The 19,312-nt window shown below is 44.0% G+C and overlaps 1 long non-coding RNA gene across 1 annotated transcript, besides 3 other annotated features; it reads right to left on the reverse strand.

Moving 5' to 3' along the window:
- Nucleotides 1-1,188: 1,188 nt before the first annotated feature.
- On the reverse strand, nt 1,189-16,762 carry LOC401312 (uncharacterized). The gene is made up of 5 exons (NR_122075.1): nt 16,574-16,762; nt 14,311-15,145; nt 4,476-4,643; nt 4,175-4,380; nt 1,189-2,382 (listed from the first exon to the last, which is right to left on the reverse strand). It is a non-coding gene; the product is annotated as an uncharacterized LOC401312 (long non-coding RNA).
- Nucleotides 15,602-16,209: an enhancer, noted in NCBI's record as "H3K27ac-H3K4me1 hESC enhancer chr7:22703992-22704599 (GRCh37/hg19 assembly coordinates)". NCBI's record gives its function as "activates a minimal SCP1, AML or CMV promoter by ChIP-STARR-seq in primed H9 embryonic stem cells {active_cell/tissue: H9 hESC(primed)}" and the evidence as "EXISTENCE:reporter gene assay evidence [ECO:0000049][PMID:30033119]".
- Nucleotides 16,210-16,818: an enhancer, noted in NCBI's record as "H3K27ac-H3K4me1 hESC enhancer chr7:22704600-22705208 (GRCh37/hg19 assembly coordinates)". NCBI's record gives its function as "activates a minimal SCP1, AML or CMV promoter by ChIP-STARR-seq in primed H9 embryonic stem cells {active_cell/tissue: H9 hESC(primed)}" and the evidence as "EXISTENCE:reporter gene assay evidence [ECO:0000049][PMID:30033119]".
- Nucleotides 16,819-17,425: an enhancer, noted in NCBI's record as "H3K27ac-H3K4me1 hESC enhancer chr7:22705209-22705815 (GRCh37/hg19 assembly coordinates)". NCBI's record gives its function as "activates a minimal SCP1, AML or CMV promoter by ChIP-STARR-seq in primed H9 embryonic stem cells {active_cell/tissue: H9 hESC(primed)}" and the evidence as "EXISTENCE:reporter gene assay evidence [ECO:0000049][PMID:30033119]".

Genomic DNA, 19,312 nt, shown 5'->3' on the forward strand with positions numbered 1-19,312 from the left:
GGGTTGTATGTCCACCACTTGGACAGTATGTAGATAAAATATGGTGGATACTCACTGTATCAGAGACATTTATGGCTCACTGGCTGCCAACACACTTCTCACATTTCCTAGCCCCTCCCACAGTTGGTCGGGGCCATTCAACAGTTTTGGTCGATGTGCTGTGAATAGCAGTGATATGTGTACTTCAAGTCTGAAGAATGTAAGAATGGATATGGATTCCCTATATTTTTTTCTTCTCTCCTTTAGCAACCCTGAAAGTCATAATTTCCCAGTGACATAGCTATGAAATGGAAGTAGAAGGGATCTCTGAGTTGTGGCTTAAAAAAGAGCTTCCCTGGCCAGGCATGGTGGCTCACACCTGTAATGCTAGCACTTTGGGAGGCCTAGGTGGGCAGATTGCTTGAGCCCTGGAGTTCAAAACCAGCCTGGGCAATGTGAAGAAACCCTATCTCTACCTAAAATACAAAAATTAGCTGGGGGTGATGGCTCATGCCTATAGTCCCAGCTGAGGTGGGTGGATCACTTGAACTTGAGAGGTGGAGGTTGCAGTGAGCTGAGATCACACCACTGCGCTCCAATCTGGGTGACAGAGCAAGACCCTGTCTCAAAAACAAAGAAACAAACAAAAAAATAGAGCTTCCATGACCTATGGAGGGAACAGCCAGACTTACAGAGGATTCTACATGAATAAACAATCAACAGGGCTGGGCACGGTGGCTCATGCCCGTAATCCCAGCACTTTGGGAGGCCAAGGAGGGCAGATCAGCTGAGGTCAGGAATTCAAAACCAGCCTGGCCAACATGATGAAACCCCATCTCAACTAAAATATAAAACTTAGCTGGGCACAGTGGTGCATACCTGTAGTCTCAGCTACTAAGGAGGCCGAGGCAGGAGAATTGCTTGAACCCAGGAGGTGGACGTTGCAGTGAGCAAAGATTGCACCACTGCCATCTATCCTGGGTGACAGAGCAAGACTCCGTCTAAAAAAAAAAAAAAAAAAAAAAAAAATTTGTCTATTAAGCCACTATGATTTGGGGGTTTTTACTTCGGCATAGCCTGGGCTACCTTGATTAATGTGTACACCATGAAATACTATCATTTGTTAGCAGCAACAGATTAGAAACATACATAGCCTCATGGATAGATCTTAAAACCACAGTGCTTAATGAAAAAGTAGGAAAGAGGCTAGAAGGGATACTATAATATCATTTACAGAATTTAAAATAAGTGCATACAAATAAAATGGACATTCCACAAGAACACATCCAAATGAAAAGATACACATTCAAATGGGGGTAGGGGAGAGGAATTAGGGTTAAAAAGGAAATCAGTTCTTCTATCAAATAAGGGATTTGCGAGTTCTAATAATGTGCTAAGACCTAATGTGTGTGTGATAATGTGCTAAAACCCAAGGAAGATGACAAACCAGATGTTTGGCCCTTCTAGGCCGAAACAGAATCTGAGGCAGGCTGGTCTAGGGTAGCACTCTTGGGAGAGACAGGAGAGAAGTCTGAGGCCTGCTGAGAGATAGCGGGTAAAGAGAGAAAGAGAAGAGCCAGCAAAGGTGCCTGAGGAAGAGGAGTTGGAAAAGTTGAGAAGGTAAATAGTCAAGTGAAATGTAACAGGTTCTTGATAAACAATGCGGCTGGGAGCGTGGAAAGGAAGGTGTTGATAAAAGAGATATATTAAGATAAAGTGCAGTTAAATCCATCATTTTTACCACATTGTACAAGTCCAGCGTGGTTTGGCCAAGTTCATCTCTGCTCAGCCCAAACTCCAGACACTGGTCTCTCAGATGTTTTTTTTAACTGTCTCAGGGCTCAGGTACTTGCAGTTTCCTTTATCATCCCCCTTCTTTTCACGGCCCTTCTCATCATTCAAGTGGTCTCTCTGAGAGGCCCTCTCTGGCTACATTTTCTAAAGTAGCTTCCACTATCACTCTCTCTCCCACTGCTTTATTTTCAGCACTACTCACTACCTGAAAGTAAAGTATGTCTTTACTTTCTATTATCTTTTTCTCCACAAGACTGCAAGCTCCATGAGAGCAAGCCCTTGTCTTGGTTATTCACCATCATATGGACAGTGGTTGGCACAGTGGGTGGCACATGGTAGATACTCAATAAATATTTCCTCCATTAAAGGCTTGTGAAGAAAGCTAAGTGGACTCTGATATGTTCCACCCAAGTGATGGAGTATATGGAGATGCTGTTAACTGAGAGGAATGGTGAGAAAGGGAAGATGTTTTGAGGATGTTCAGTTTTGTAAATGTTGGGTTTTGAGGAAACCCATGACATATCCAGGCGGAGGTTGTCAACAGGTCATGAGTCAAAAATTGGGTGAAACCTGTAGATTTGGGAGCTGTTGGCAGGTCACCGTTGAAACCTTGAGGAGAAATGAGGTAGCAGAGAGTGAGTAAACACTGCCAATTGAATGAGGTCATTATACGCAATGCTTAAGCTCCACTGTGGAGCCTAATCTTAGATCTATGAAATCTGGCTCTGAATTCCACTTCCATGTAAAAAATACAGAAGCAAGATTCCTCCACATTTGCCCATTGTCTGACAGATTGAGACAGAAACAATCCCTGTCATCCAGGGAGCTTATGCTTAGCTAAAACATTCCATGTACGCTGAAGTTAGGAACACCAATTTCCTAGCCCCTGCTACCTAAGAAGCATTGTTCTGGCTTGGAGTTGCCCACCAGAGCCATCTCAGGCTACAAAGGCTGAAAGATTACAAGAGCCAAAACACATCAGTTTTGAAGAGAAAGTTATCCTAACAGTTCTGTTCAGATCAAGATGAACTTTAAATAATCCATATCCACCACAGGCTTCTTACTAAGCAGTTCAGGACTCTGGTCAAATTGCCCACAGTCAGACTGAAAAGAGAAGGGAAATCATGATCCTAAGCACTAAAATAACTCGTTTCTGGTTGCACATTAGAATCACCTGGGAAACTTGAAAAACAAACACTGCCTGATTCCCACCCCATGCCAATGAAGTCAGAACCTCTGGGGGTGGGCCTTGGACGTCAGTATTTTCTTAAAGTACTACAGGTGATTTTCATGTACAGCTGGTTTCAAACTAAAAATGTGTCACTGGAAAAATGTTCCTTTCTTCTTCCCCCTCTTTCTTTCCTGGAAATAATGAAAGGACATAAAAGTCATCTCAGCATGTATACCTCCCCATTGGTCAGACTTTAGCCATTAGCTCCTCTTGAGCTCTGCCCAAGAGTGGCAGCTGGATGAGTCAGTTATCTCCCTGTTCTCAAGGAGCCACTGGAACCTTGGGAACCCACTGGGGAAATAAGCGGGAAAAAGGGTGAGTAGATCAGACCCCACGAACAGTGGGATAGTTTTGCTATAACTGCTGACTCATTTAGCTGGCATTTCCCTTTTCCTCTTCCTTTGCCATAACAATAGTCAAATCCTAGAACATCAGACCTGTGAGAGGTCTAAGTCCTCGCCTCATCCAAGAATCCTGTTAGTAGTGATGGTGGTTATGGGGACATTGCAGAGTAATGAAGTGACCCATCCAGATCACATGTGTATTCCATGCCTCATCCTATCCCCCCACCATTTACCTGCCTCCTGGAGACATTCAGAGAATATGCACACTAATACACCTAAGGGATGGACCTCAAGTATTCTAGCTACCACTTAGTGAGGGGTCGGGTCTAGAATTAATTTTCAAACTTCTTCAGAAGAACAAGTGTGTCACATTCCAGGAGTGGGAAACATAATGGCCTTAAATACTGTGTTGAATGACAACTGAATGAAAGTATTTGACACAACCCACCATTGCCTCATTCTTTTTTTTTTTTTTTTTTTTGAGATGGAGTTTCGCTCTTGTTGCCCAGGCTGGAGTGCAATGGCGTGATCTCGGCTCACCACAACCTCCTTCTCCCGGGTTCAAGTGATTCTCCTGTCTCAGCCTCCTGAGTAGCTGGGATTACAGGCTCATGCCACCATGCCCAGCTAATTTTTGTATTTTTAGTAGAAACAGTGCTTCATCATATTGGTCAGGCTGGTCTTGAACTCCTGACCTCAGGTGATCTACCCATCTCGACCTCCCAAAGTGCTGGGATTACAGGCATGAGCCACAGTGCCCAGCCCATTGCATCATTCTTCAAGCCATCTTCTTAGTGACAGGACATGTTCCTGGTTGTCCTCTTACCTTTCTAAAGAATAGTTCCTTCTCCATTGGCTTCTCTGCTCCTCTTCCTCCTCACACTAGCCTCACACTTTTCTTGGGGTGAGGGGGTGGGGTCCTGAGGCTTCTCTGCAGAGTTAGAGGTCTCTTCAGGACAGCTTGAAACATGATCCAGCCTTAGTCCCTTATTTGGCAGGACTGGAAACTGAGGTCCAAAAAGGATATGTAATCTACATAAAGTCATGGGAATAATTTAGTGACACAATTGGGACTAGAACCTAGGTCTCCAGATCTCCAACTGCATTCACTGCTCAGTTCATCTTACCACTGACTTGAACACAGGAGGAAGAACACCAAAGAGTGTTGCTGATCTATATGAAGCTCTTTGTTCTTCATCTTCTAAGTCCTTGTTATTCAAAGTGTAGTCCATAAACAGCAGGCACTATCTAGATGCTTATTGAAAATGCAGACTCTCAGGCCTCACCCAGACCTACTGAAAGAATCAGAATCTGCATTTTAACAAGATGATCAGGTGATTCTAACACACATTAAAATTTGAGAAGCACTTTTCTAAATCACCATTTAGGTATTCATTCATGCAAGTATTTACTCAACATACACTGTGTAAAACAAAATGATAGGCACTGAGAAGTTTATACTACCAGAAAAATAATACAAATAGAACTTGTTTTAACACTTTAAAAATTTTAGAAATAATGGCAAATTAAGGTATTTAGTTGGATACCACTGATACATGTGGATATGATAGTCAATTTCTACATCAAAATAATTTTAGGTTTAAATATCGTAATAACATGATAAAAATAAAAATCCGAACACCCATCATCCTGGTATCAAGTGCATGTGTCAATTTCCAAAGCTCTCAAATCATTCTCCATTGCTATCCAAAGCCTTTGCTTAAATCAAAACCATGATGCACAACTGACTCTGGTTTTGTGTCAAAGCAAAGGATGGAGTACCAATTCTGTTCTCTTTATTGCAAAATTCCTGGCACAGAATAACTTTACTACCCTAGCAATTGTTGCACCTTTCCCAATTTCCTTGATCTTCCTGTTGTCAAAAAATGATTTCTGGCATGGAATTAAGCAAACCCAAAGCACACCTGATGTCTGCCAACTTTCCTTCTGCCTTCTCTTATTAACACTGAATTTCAAATCAAGAGCCTTGGCCTTTCCTTGTTTCTTGGCAACAGAGCTTCCAGAGGAAGTGCAAGAGTGAGGACACACACAAAGACTGCAACAGAACAAAGGCAGAGAAGACAAACACATGCACAGGGAAACATAAAACCTGTGAATGTGGGAACAATCAGGCCCCCATTGATATAATGACATTATTTATCAAACCCCAGGTGTCACAGCTCCTCTGTCCTCTGCTCTAGTGCTGTCTTTGTGTGTTCATGCAACAAACAGTATTTGTAACATTCTGGATGATGTTTCTAATAAGCTGCTAACTGTAAATAAGATCAAGTCTGAACTCACAGAAACAAAAGCCCTTGGAGTAAATATAATTGAGAAGAAAAGCAATACATGTACAAGACAGTTATATCAATACAAGCTCTGATGTGACAAAGTAACCACATGAGGAACAAACATGATAAGCACACAGATTCTCAAAGAAGATGCCCAGACTAGAAGCAAGGGGAGAACTGTCCTTCTTCTCTCTCTGAAGACTGGCCTTTTTTACTTATCCATTTTCATGGCAGGCAGAAGATGGCCACCCTACAGCTCCCAAGCTTACACCTTACAGCCAAGACTATGGAGAAGAACCGTCTCTCACAGTCACAACTCCAAGTTCCCAATACAGGAAATGATTTGTCAGGTGTCTGTCCCTGCACCAAGCAGCAGTAACCAAGATCTGTCAGCAATGCCTGACTGCTAGGAGTCCATGCCTGTGGACCATATAGAGGAGAGGTCTTCAAATAGAACATTTGTTGACTTGTGACCTGGGCAGATAAACCAATAGTTGTCCACCTGGGAACAAAGAGATGCAGCCACAAACATGAGCATCAGCCAGCAGCAGCACCAAATCCAGGACTATCTGCCTGAGCCAGGGGCCCGGCTGGAACCTCACTGTCAGAGTTATGTGTAGGCAGAACAGCAGCATTTCATAGAAGTTTAGAGGGAATAGTCACTCAAGGCTAAAATGCTGGAATCTTCTCAAACTCACATTCCTTCACCTTTTAAGTCTGTTAGATATTCCATATCTGATTGTTCATTTGTTTGTTTTATCATTTTAGTGCCTTCTTCTCCTGAAACTCACTTTGTCCCACCTTCTCCACTGGGGCTACTATTCTTATAGTGCAAATACTCATCTTCTAGTACAAATACATCCAGACCAGAGTCAGGAACGAGAAGCCTCTAGTCAGTCTTCAATTTTCCCATTATGGTTCCTTCTTCGGGTTTATTTTCTAAAGAATGAACAAACATGGGATTATTCAACTAAGGGCTGAATGTTAAAATACAAGTTTCATTGTGGCTCTAGAAAGTTGAGGCCTGAAGTGAATGTGGATCATGTTCTGGACCAATTCTGATGTGTTGAAAAAGCTATCATACAATATACCTGCTAATTTATGCAAATTATATGTTGACTGTAGGTAATAAATGATATTGGCAAGTCATCACCTCACACACTATGCTTTAACAGCCCTATCAATCAGCATATTGTGTCAGTTACAATAGGGTGCTTTTGGCTGCAGATAACAGAAAACAACCTAAACTAGCTTAAGTAATAAGTCATTTTATCAAATAACAAAAGGTGAAGGTATGGTGGTCTAGGATTTAGAAGCTGAAAAATATCATTGAGGACCAGAATCTTTTCTTCTTTCCCTTCTGCCATCCTCACTGTATTAGTTAAACCTGTTATCTGGCTCCCCTCATGACCCCAGGATGGCTGCCATAGTCCTAAATGCCAAGAGTAGAAAGGATGATTCCTCCGAAAAATTTGTTTTTAATCAATGAGGAAAATATTTCCCAGAAGTCTCCAACAGACTTCCCCTTCTCTCATTGGCCAGAATTCTGTCACATGCCCATGCTTAAACCAATCATTGGCAAGAGGAACAGGACCACTATGTTTGGCTTAGGCCAATTAGAATTCACCAGGGACGAGGAGGGGCCAGTCTCGCCTAAAGCATCTATCTGATACCCAAAATTTTGGGAGTTCTATTAGTAAGGGCTATAAGTAGGCAACCAATGGCGTCTTCCACAGCTCCCACTTCTAGGAAGACATTTCTGGCACTAAAATGAAGATGCCTTTTTTTTTTTTTTTTTTTTTTTTTTTTTTGGAGACAGAGTCTCGCACTGTCGCCCAGGCTGGAGTGCAATAGCGCAATCTCAGCTCACTGCAACCTCCACCTCCCCAGTTTACCCGATTCTCCTGTCTTAGCCTCCCTAGTAGCTGGGATTACAGGCACACACGACTACACCCGAATAATTTTTTGTGTTTTTAGTAGAGATGGGGTTTCACTATGGTCTTGAACTCCTGACCTCGTGATCCACCCGCCTTGGCCTCCCAAAGTGCTGGGATTACAGGCGTGAGCCACCGCACCCAGCCCGAAGATAACTATCTTATCAAAGATATAACCAGGATTAAAAAGCTGCTTTCACACTGCCAGCTGTCCTGTTCCAGCTATGTGGGAAACTCAACTGTGCCTAACTGTATAGCAATAATAAAAGCAATAATGAAACAATAACAACAATTACTGAGCACTCACCATATGCCAGGCCCTGGGTTAAGTGCCTTACACACTAGAAGGGATACTGTGCAGGGTGAGGCAAGTGAGGTGCAAAATTTAAAAAGGTACTTGCTCTCAGGGTTGTTCATGTGCATGTTGGCACCTGAGAGTGGATGCCTCCTTAAATGTCACACCCTAGGATCCCCTCTTGCTTCCCCCTAGTGTCAGCCCCAATGCTGCAATGTGCCACCCAGATCTACCACAACATTCAGAATCAAAGTACTCATTTCCCAGTGTTGGGAGTGTGAGGCTGAGCACTGTCAGCTGAGTCCCTCACAGGGAATTTCTTTCAGCAGAAGATAATTGCCTTGCCCAGGTTCATCCCCTTCCTGGGGGCAGCCCTTATCCAATAACTGTTGAGGGTAGAAGTATGAAGTTCCAGCACTTTTGCATCAACCTGGGTAAACTCTGAGATGTCATCCCATACTCAGAGTAGCCCATAGTACTGGCTCAGAGCTTTCATGTAACTGCACTGCAGTTCATCTCCTTCTGACCCATCTTATTTTCCTCACTCACAAAAGCAGTCCCCAGTTACCTCTCAGCATGCTTATCTCCATCTCAGAGCCCATTTCTTAGTGAGTATGTCTAGCAAAAGTTGTTGCAGGAATGGTCTAAAGAAGCAACATTAAAATGGGCTACAATGAGGAACTCAGTCCTAGTGATAAGATGAAGCACTGAGATACACTGATTTGTAACCACAGTGAATTTTTTTAAATTTGCACTAGGATGAACTAGGGTGGGAAACAGTAGAAGGGAATGCACTGTCAGATGCAATGTATTAAGTCGTTGAGCTATGGGTTGGATAATAATTATAAGGGCTATGGAATTTGATGGCTGTTGTCAGGGAGAGAGATGTATTGAGTAAAAACAGTGAAAGACTGAGTGTGATCAATCACTATTTAAAATTAAATGTGACTACCAGAGGCCTTATTGGAAACACATAGAGAAACTCTCATATCCTGCAGCCAGAGGGCAGAAAACGCTGAGTATCAGACCCAGGACTTCATTATAAAAATAGCAGAATCACAGAGGAAATTGAATTCTCAACCCAGAAGGTATTCCACATCAGAGTCTGGTCTCTAATTATGAAGGGGTGAGACACTGAGACTTGGAATGGGGAAATTTATGTTGATACACTCATAAATCTCAAATCCCCAGATTCTCCACCCCACCCCCAAACTTCCTGAGCCTAAAGAATTGGCTCACTCCTTTCTAATAAATTCTATCACTACCTCTTACCTGAAGACAGGTAAGCCCTCTTCTAAAAAAACACTTGCCTGTGCTGGGCAGTCTTTAAAATAGCCCCAATGGTCCCTGCCTTCTGACAGTCCCACCCTTATGTAGTCCTCTTCTACTTTGAATAGAGATGACTTTTGTAACCAATAGGATATTTCAGAAACAACAGAGTGTGACTTCTGAAGCTAGGCCACAAAAGGAATTGTGGCTTCCTTCTTGCCATTTTCGGATTATCCACTCTAGGGGAAGCTACCTCCTATGTTATGAGTATACTCAAACAGCATGACGGAACGATCCATGTGTCAACAAACTGAGGGTTGCTGCCAATAGCCAGTGAGTAACTGAGACTTCATGCCAAAAGCCATGTTATGAACCATCTTGGAAGTAGGACCTCCATCCCCAGTCAAGCCTTCAAATGGCCACAGCCCTAGCCAACATTTTGACTGAAATCCCATGGGAGACATTGAGCCAGAAATCCTGAGATAATAAATTTTGTTATTTTAAGTTGCTAGATTTTGGGGGTAATTTGTTATACAGCAATAGATAAAATAATACATCCTCTCAGAATCTACTCCTACCTCCCATCTTGGCCATCAGACCACTAACTAGAATTAAATCACAACATAACCAATTAAGGAAGTTCTGGGTCTTCCAAGGAAAGAAAAAAATCATATTCCCAAATAAACTGCAGTACTTAGCTAGCATATGCCAGCAGGAACTAGAATAATATGTTTGGACAGGATTTAATGCCCCAGAAGACAGCACTAAGACACATGTAGGATGGATCAGGTAAGTTTGGAGAAAACAGTAAAGAAGAAATGCCATAACTGCCACAGCAAACAGTGGAAGAAAAGATCAAAAGGCTCAGAAAAGTAGGCATGCTAGAGCAGACAGACTAAACAAGATGAGAAAATACACCAGATGGCTTTGTTCCATGATAGGGGCGAAAAGATATTCTGATTATCAAAGTGACAAGGAATACCCTGGTGAGAGGGCCACCAATGTCACTGAGAATTTCAGTAGAAAACATCCTCTACTGAAATTCTCAGTAGAATTCTCAGTGGCCATAGAACCAGGCTGATGGTAGTAGTTGTTATTACAGAGCTGAACTCATGGATAGCAATAGTGGATCCTAAAAAGGATCCTAAAATCCTTTTCAGGAAGAATCCTAAAAAGAGCCCAGGCAGCCACCTTTAACCACTAGAAGCAAGGTGGTCACAACTGTCATAATCCATGGAGACAGTTAATAGAATACAGGATTTCTAGGGCAAGTCATTAAGAGTAATGTTCAATATATAGACCCCCACTTCCCCCCACCCCCCCAAAAAAATCAAGGATTCGTGATTAAGAGACTAAGGGCAGCCCAATGAAAAGTCATTATCCCTGGCCCAGTTTCTGGATCTGAGCCAGTGTTCTGACCCAGAATCTACTGACTAAAGGAGGGGCAAGTTCTCTAGGAGGGAGGATCCTGTAACACCATGGTAAGTATATATAGTAATGATTATCTCAATCTTTCCCTAAAAGAATCTATGATCCTTTACTCAAGTAACTGTACACTTGGAAAGGGGGAAATCCCAAGCATTTTGAGAATGGCTGGACACAGAACACAAGTTTGCACTGAAACCCAGGGATCCAAAGTAACATCATGCTCCACAACCACCCCCACCATTAGAGTGGAGGCTTAAGGGGGCCAACTAATAAACGGAGTTCTGGCTCAACTCTGGCTCACAGTGGATACACTGGTTCCCTGGACTCACTTAGAAATTTTTCCTGTTCCTGTATTCATAACTAGAATCAACATACTTGGTTGTTGGCAGAGCCTCCACATATCACAGTGGGAAAGCTAAGTAGAAGCCACTGAAATTGCCTTTCCCACCCAGCCATGATAGTATAATAAATCAAAAACAGTATCATATCCCGAGGGGAACAACAGATCTAAGGATGCAGGGTGGTGATCCCCTTCACATTCCTACTTAATTCACGAGTCTGACCTTTACCAAAGCCATGTGGATCCTGGAAGATGACCGTGGACCAGCAAACTCAACTAAGCACTATCCACAACCGCAAATGCTTTGCCAGATATGATATCTTGACTACAGCAGATTAGTGTTGCCTCTAGTACCTAGTTTGCAGCCATGGATCTGACAAATGCATTCTTTTCCGTCTCTATCAGAAAGATAGATCGTAAACAGTTCTCCTTCACTTGGGACAGACAGTAGTATACATTGTCTTACAGTCTTGCCCCTGGGCTGTGTTAACTCCTCACCCTCCATCAAAATATAGTCAAAAGAAAGCTGGGTCACCTGCTATCCTGCAAAACATCCTATCAGTCCATACTACTTATGACATTATGTTACTGGGACCCAGGGAGAAAGAAGTAGCAAGTATGCTGGGGGCCTTAATAAGTCACATGCCCTTCAGATGATGGGAGATATACTCTACAAAGATTCAGTGGCTTGCACCATTGTTGGTTGCTTGCTTTCACCAGAGGACACAATAAGTTTCCCATTAAATGACAAAGTGTGGCTGCCACCCAGTTGCTTCACATTCCTCATACCAAGAGAAGAGTAGACAAGAAAAAGAGTCAGCCTCCTGGCATGAGTAATTGATTCTGATCCCCAGGAAGTGAGAGGGCTGCTTTGGGAGCAGGGAAAACTATGTTTGGCACCCAGGTAAACTGCTTGGGTGTCTCTTAATGGAAAATAGGTAAATACAGCTGTCACAGCCTAGTTTTATACCTGCCAGGTAAACCACTTGGACCAGATGGGACGGGGAAACTAGAATAGGTAGTAAAGGAGGAAGACAATGAGCATCACTTGTAGCCACCAGAGCAGCGGCTATGGTGAGAGCACTAGGTCATTCCATTCACCTTCCTCTTGTATGTTTCCCCAGGAAAAGAAGACCACCAGAATCTAGAAGAGCTGCTGTCAGAACTTATGATAGGAAGCAAGTGACTCTGAGGTGCAAAGAGTGGACTGCGGTGAACCTGCAGTGTATCACCCAGGTTTATCGCCCCCTTCAGGACTCAAGCACTCATTTCCCCACCTGCAGGGAATGTTGGTGGCTAACAGCTATCAGCTCTTGCTCTTCAGGCATTGCCCTTTGCTGAACAGTTTCTTTGCCCAAGATCACATCCCCATCCCAGGGACATCTGATATCCAATGATTAACTGATGTAGGGCTATAAGACCAACCTCAATTCAAAATAACCTTGAAGGGTTATTGCAGCTACACAGCCACTGATGGGATTAGTGAAGTTTTCTTACAACTGCATCAGAATTCTCCTTCTCCCTGTGCCCAGTAATGCTATCTACACTTTCCCAAAAGTACCGATCTCAAAAGGACTCCTCAGTAACGTTCCTGCATGCAAATCTCCATCTCATAATCTGTGTCCCAAGGAACCCAACCTGCAATGCATGCATTGTCTCATTTGATCCTCTCCACAAGATCAGAACTGCTATTATCCCTATTTTACAGTGGAAATTCAAGCCCCAAGAGCTTCAGTAAACTTGCAAACTCCCTGATTTTAGAGTCTATGCTCTTAACCAACCTGGATCAGCAAACTGTAATCCCTATGCTAGAATTAGGCAAATATTTCCCTGGATGAGACGCTCTAGGTGCAGCCAGCTGAGCACTAACTAGTCAGATGTTTCTTTTCATCATGTGTTCCCTGGGACCTACCTGGAAATTTCAAAGGAAGGTAAGAGAGAACTTCTGCAACCCAGCTCCTCTCTCCAGGCTCTTTAAGCCTCCTCACCTTATTGCTCTGGGTTCCAGGGGTCTTCTGTGAGCTCCCAATCAAGTTTAGCATTCTCTCCTGTGCTTGTGATGTTGTGCAGAGGAGTCCTCCTGACATGATCAGCTGCCACCCCAGCCACCTGGGTCCCAGATCTCAAGATAACTGGAGTGACCCAAATGCAGATCTTGGTCTTCTGAATCCAGTTGTTTAATAAGTGATTTGTGGCTGGACAGTTACATAACTGTAGAGATCACCCAGGTTTGTATGGGGTCTCACTTCCCTCTCCACCCTCAGATTGTCTGTCCCTCCCTAGAGTAAAGCTACGTCACATAGTCTCCCCCAAGTTCCAATGTGTTAGTGCCAGATATACGGAATGCTTGTTGGGAATGTGGCTTAAACTGTCTCTACTGTGACAGAAGGACAGACTGTCATCAACTGCTGCAGGTAACCTAGAAACCCTTTGTCTTTCACAACAACTTTTTGTTATTTTATTCTCTGAGCCATCTCTTAGACAATGTCTGGATTCCCATCAACTTCTGCACATAAACAATATTTATAAGTAACCAGGCAGAGCAATGGAGTGTGTTTAGTCATTTTGCATAAGAACTTCCCTTGCACAAGTTCTATATATAACTCAGTTGGCAACCCCCTTTTCTACCCATTGAGGCACCAGTGCAGAACATGTTCTTAGGAGCACTCACAGCCCCTCCACTGTGGGTTTCTTGAGGTAATAGAAAGAAAATTCCAGGTGTTACTGTTCCCCAACCCCTTAAATACACAGCCCCCAGTGTCTCCTACACTTAGCCCCCATTACTCCCAATCATGGTTCCTCTGTTTATGAAGGTCTGCCTCCTTCCTCTGCCCCACATGTCAACCTCATTTCTGTCCTTGTTCTCTTCCCATGGCACTTTCCAGCCTTCTCCCCACAGCAGGATCTCCTTTGACTCTCTTCAATAATCTGCATACACTGTGTGCTTCCCCAAGATACCATCCCTGAAGAGCCCCATTTCACTCTGACTATTCACAAAGCCTCATTAGCATGTTCTTGTACAGTACTCACTAGCTTTGAATGGAACCTCATGCCCTTTTAGAGTCAGAATACTAAGTTCAGACACTGCCACTTACAGGAATGTGATCTGGGGGAAGTTCCTTAACTTCTCCAAGCTTCACTGTTTTCACTTGTAAAATGGCAATAGTAAAGCCTACCCAATGTGCTTGCAGAGAGGACGAATGAGGTAACGCAGTAAAAAGTAACCTTTAAATTTTAAAGTTCTATATGAATGTGAGTTATCATTATTGTGTTGTTTCTCCCCTCTGAGCTCTCTGAGGTCACATCTTTTACTTCCTTTCTCTCCCTGGGTCACACACAGTGACAGTAACACTGTAAGCTAATATTAGATGCAGAATTAAGAATGAATAAAAGAAAACCACTCACCAATCAGAATTAGGCAAAATCCTAACCATATTAAATCTATTGTAGACTGTTCCACAGAGTCAATCTAGAAACTGCTCTATAGGGAAACATCCTGAAAAGACATGAAAATTCATTTACAGTACATGCTTGCAAATTTATGCTGAGAGGAAAAGGAATAGCATCAAAACACATCCACTCTTCCTTCTAACACAGGGCCAATGTTGCTAACAAGAGACAGGCTGGCCTCGGGAACACTTGTTAGCTTTTCCCAAAAAGGCTGCTACCTTTAAATGACCAGTTATCTCCCTTAAAGAATCATTTTTTATCCCATAATATCAGTTCCTCTTCAACATCTGATGCAACTCTTAGTGTTTTCCATTGCTTTCTAGCTGTGTCAGATTTCCCTAGAAGACAGAAATGAAAGTGATGACTAAGAAGATTGCACTGAAATTTCAAATATTTGGCCTACACATTGATTCCCCCACCCACCCCTCCTATTCCGGTCTTCTTGCCCTCCACGGGGGGAAATCACTATTTCTGTGCAGTGTAAAACCTTCAGCTTTCACCATTACATGTAGACTTACAATCTTTAAACACAAATTTAGTTCATTTAGTTGGAACCACACAAAGTAGAACCTACTTGGAGATTTCAGATTTTTTTTTCTATTTCCCTGACGATCTTCTAAAGATATAGAAAGTTACATGTCAGAAGTATACCAATCGTGATCAGTTTCCCCTGTCACTTAGAAGCGACAAAGCATTTACTTATCTCCTCCACAGTGGCCCATTTTCTATATCGCAATCTTGCCTCCAAGTCAAATTGTTCAAAGCACCATGTCTGGAATGAAGAAGGGCACTGGGAAAAAAGAAAAATAGCAAGATGGAGGAAATACCAATCATATGCAGTATTTCTTCAGGCCATCTCAACATACTTCACATTTCCTTCACAGGAACAAGATAAGATTTCTCAACTGGGTATTTCTTTTAAACGTCCAAACTTGGCAGTACTTTAATGGATATCTAAGATAATTAAATGATTAGGGTGACGTATTAATATAGGTCATCGGACGGGCACGGTGGATCACGTCTGTAATCCCAGCATTTTGGGAGGCCGAGGCGGGTGGATCACTTAAGGTCAGGGGTTCGAGACCAGCATGGCCAGCACGGTGAAACTCCATCTCTACTAAAAATACAAAAAAAAAATTAGCCGGGCGTGGTGGGGCACGCCTGCAGTGCCAGCTACCTGGGAGGCCGAGGCAGGAGAATGGCGTGAACCTGAGAGGCAGAGCTTGCAGTGTGCCGAGATCGTGCCATTGCACTCTAGCCTGGGTGACAGAGCAAGACTCCGTTTCAAAAAAAAAAAAAAAAAAAAAAAAAGGATATTTTCCAGTTTCCAGTACACCCTGTTCCAGATATGCTCACTCAAGTCAAAATTACCGAGTGTAGTGGACATTTTAGCCCTACTCTCAAGCAAAAGGCAGATTTTCATAGGTCCATTTCTACCATTATTTCACTAGGTCTCCCAAGCTTCCAAAAGGTAGATCATGTGCTCGCTTCAGCATCCCGTATACTAAAATTGCAACAAAACAGAGAACACTAGCAATTTTAAAAAATAAAAATAAAGCAGATCATTAGACGACCAAAACTGTCATGGAGGGATCTTTCACATGGACAAGTGGTACCCCCGGTGTAGTTCGGAGCATCCCACAGGAACTCTACACCACCTCAATGTAGTGATTGAAAGCCAGGCACTGGAAGGACAAAGTTGAGCAAAACCACCCCGAAACATAAGAAGTTCCTGGCCCTAGGCTGACTCCCTAGCAGGTCATTTTACACCAGTCACGGAAAGACAGAGGGGCAGGAGTTGAGGGGGAAGTGGGGGCCCAGGGAAGGAGTTATCTGATCAAGTCTTAAAGGATAAACAGGAAACTGGACAGCAAAAGGGGAAAAAAGTAGCCAATCCGGGCAAAGACAGCACCATCAACAAAGAATCAGGACGAACAAGAGAATGCCCTGTGCAAACATCAGCAAACGTCTGCCCCGTGTGTGTTTGTGTGCGGCCGCCAGGTGTGGCGTCATGGCTGCCATTTTGTTCTTCTCTGGTTGGCTCCTTGGGCGCCTACAGCCTGTGAAGCACTGCCTGACGCCTACCGCTCGCCCACCTCCCCGCCTCCTCCGGGCGCTGCAGCCTCCAGGGATCCCTCCGCCCCCCACCCCCGGGAAACCTGGAAGTGGCCACCAGGCCCGGTGGTCCGAGGTGAGCTAAGGAAGGAGCTTTACCCACCTCGTGGCCCGCAGTGATGAGGCGGCCCGAGCAGCGGGTCGTCTTCCAGAAGAGTCAGAGAAACAGTCCTGGCTTGCTTCACCTCAGCCCCCTGGGTTCCCTCCAAACCAGAGGACGCAGAAATGCCTGGGTCTGAGGGGGCTGGGTGTGCTCGGCCTGGGTAGTCTCGAAAGTCGCCAAGGCTACCTCAGAATCCCCCGCCCTCCGGCCAAGCTCCTCTCCCCCAGGCGCTGCCCCACGCTCCTCGCCGCCCTTCCCTCTGCCTGGGGGCCGGCGAGCTTGTGGCCGCCCAGATACGCCTGGATCCTCGCCGGGACCTCGGTGGAGCGCTTCCCGCCCTCGGCACCCCTACCCCCGGTGGCCCAGACGCGCCCAGGTCCTCGCCTGAGGAAACTCCGAGGACACCCGACCTCCCGCTCTCTCTCAAACCGCCCCCCTTCGCCCCCCTGCCCGCGTCGTTTCTTTCTCCTGCTCTCCAAATGGCTTTTCCACACCAGAAACTGAACAGCAAGTGTGGCCCGGCGCGTCTGGGGACAGGGTGGAGGGGGACTGACAGTTTTACACTCTTCAGTAGTTGTGAGTGTTGTACTGTTGTGTGTGGATTGCTTATTCCCGAAGTGTAACTTGTTTGGAAAATTAATTGCGAAAGAAAAGTCATTTTTTTGAGCCCCAGAGTTTTCAGAATATTTTGCGCAATGCCATACTGATGCTCGCCTTCCCTTTGTACTCAAAAGGCTTCATTGAAACGAATCACACTGGTTAAAAGTCAGTTTGGTTTGGTGTCGTGGTGGTGGTGGTGAATGAGTCACATAGGTTAAAAACTCAGTTTGTGGTGGTAGATCTCAGATACTAAACCCACTGTGAGATCTTAATCAAGTGTCTTTACCTCTCTGTGCCTCAGTTTCCACATGTGTAAAATGGGAATAATTATAGTACCCATGTCACAGATTTATGGTGAGATGAAATGAACTCACGTATATGAAGCACTTGGTGTCTGCCACAGAGTGGATGCTGGAGAATGGCTCACTGCCATTATCCTTATAGATTGCCGCTCACCTCTGTCACCTTTTGCTCCAGTCTGTGGTGAGAAGTTTCAGGGAAGTAAAGCATGCCTCTGAGAAGGATGATACGTGGATTGAGTAGAAAAATGGAATTCCATGTTGGTCAAAGGGTAAAAATTTTCAGTAATAAAATGAGTAAGTTCTGGGAGTCTAACATATAGCATAGTGACTATAAATAATAATATTGTATTGTTTACTTGAAATTTCCTGAGAGTAGATCTTAAGTGTTCACATACACACAATGGTAGTTATGTGATATGATGGATGTGTTAACTTGACTGTGGTAATCATTACTCTGTGTATGTGTATATATGTGTGTATATATGTGTGTGTGTGTATATATAAAGTCATCACTTTGATATACCAAATTTTTATTTGTCAATTTACCTCGATAAAACTGGAAAGAATGAAATTTGAGAGTTTTCAAAACCTTAATCTCCATCCTGCAGGAGAAACATTTCCTTTCCCCTGTGGCACACAGGACAAAGTATAGGAGCTGAGTCAGGGACAAGGGCCCAAGCTCATGCTCCTCCACTAGCCTGTGGGTTGATTCTTGGGCAAACTGCCAATGTCTCTAAGCCTCAATTTGTTCACATGGAGCCAAGTGAGCCCCATGTGTATGAAAGGGCTTTGTACCCACTAAAAGCCTGAAAATTTGAGGTGCAGTTATTTTGAAAATACACAATTGATGGCCTATAAATAGAACAGGTGAGTTAAGTGGAACATTGACAACCATATGGAAGTTTATACAGTGCCACGAGAAAAGCTTGATTTTTTTGTTAAAGCTCAGCAGCGGTTAAATCAACTGCTAAAGGAACAGCCCCTTCCCAGAATGTTTTCTCTTTTTTTGAGACAGAGTCTCGCTCTGTCATCCAGGCTGGAGTGCAGTGGCACGTTCTCAGCTCACGGCAACTTCCGCCTCCCAGGTTCAAGTGATTCTTCTGCTTCAGCCTCCCGAGTAGCCGGGATTACAGCCACATGCCACCACATCTGGCTAATTTTGGTATTTTTAGTAGAGACGGGTTTCACCATGTTGGCCATGCTGGTCTCGCCCTCCCAACGTGCTGGGATTAGAGGCGTGAGCCACCGCACCAACCCCTCAGAATGTTTTCTTGATGGGGTTGCTGGCACTTGCTCTTCTGCCACTGCGGTAGGGTAGAAAAGCCCTGTGACTCTGAGGGATTCCCTTTCTTTCTCTTCCAGATGTTTCCTCTGGGATCCACACTCTGGGTCCTTTCATATCTCTGGAAATAAATTGTCCCCTTCAAATTCAAAGCACCAAAACATACTGCAAGTTCCCACAGTTCAGGCTGCAACTACTTTTAATCAGTTCTAAGAAATCTCAGGGAACCAAGTTCATCAGTTCCGTGACTTCAGAATAAGTCACCTAATCTCTCTTGGCTGCAGCTTCCTTACAAGGAAAACGATATACCTCAAATTCTGAGTCACATGAGCTTGGCAGAAATGTAAACAGAGTTTCCACTGTTTCCTATCTCTCTATCCTTTTCTGGTTAGTTCCATGAACTTCCACCCCTAGACACAGGCTGAAATCCACCTCACCCTCAGCAACCTTGGATTTTGAAGAAGGTGGGGCCTGAGTTGTTTTGAGTTCTCAGTTGCAAAGTGCTGTTCTCAGGCCAGCCCTGGCCTACCTGCCTAGAGCTATTGTTAGTAAATT

Source organism: Homo sapiens, chromosome 7 (assembly GCF_000001405.40).
Source record: "Homo sapiens chromosome 7, GRCh38.p14 Primary Assembly".
Taxonomy (NCBI): Eukaryota; Metazoa; Chordata; class Mammalia; order Primates; family Hominidae; genus Homo; species Homo sapiens.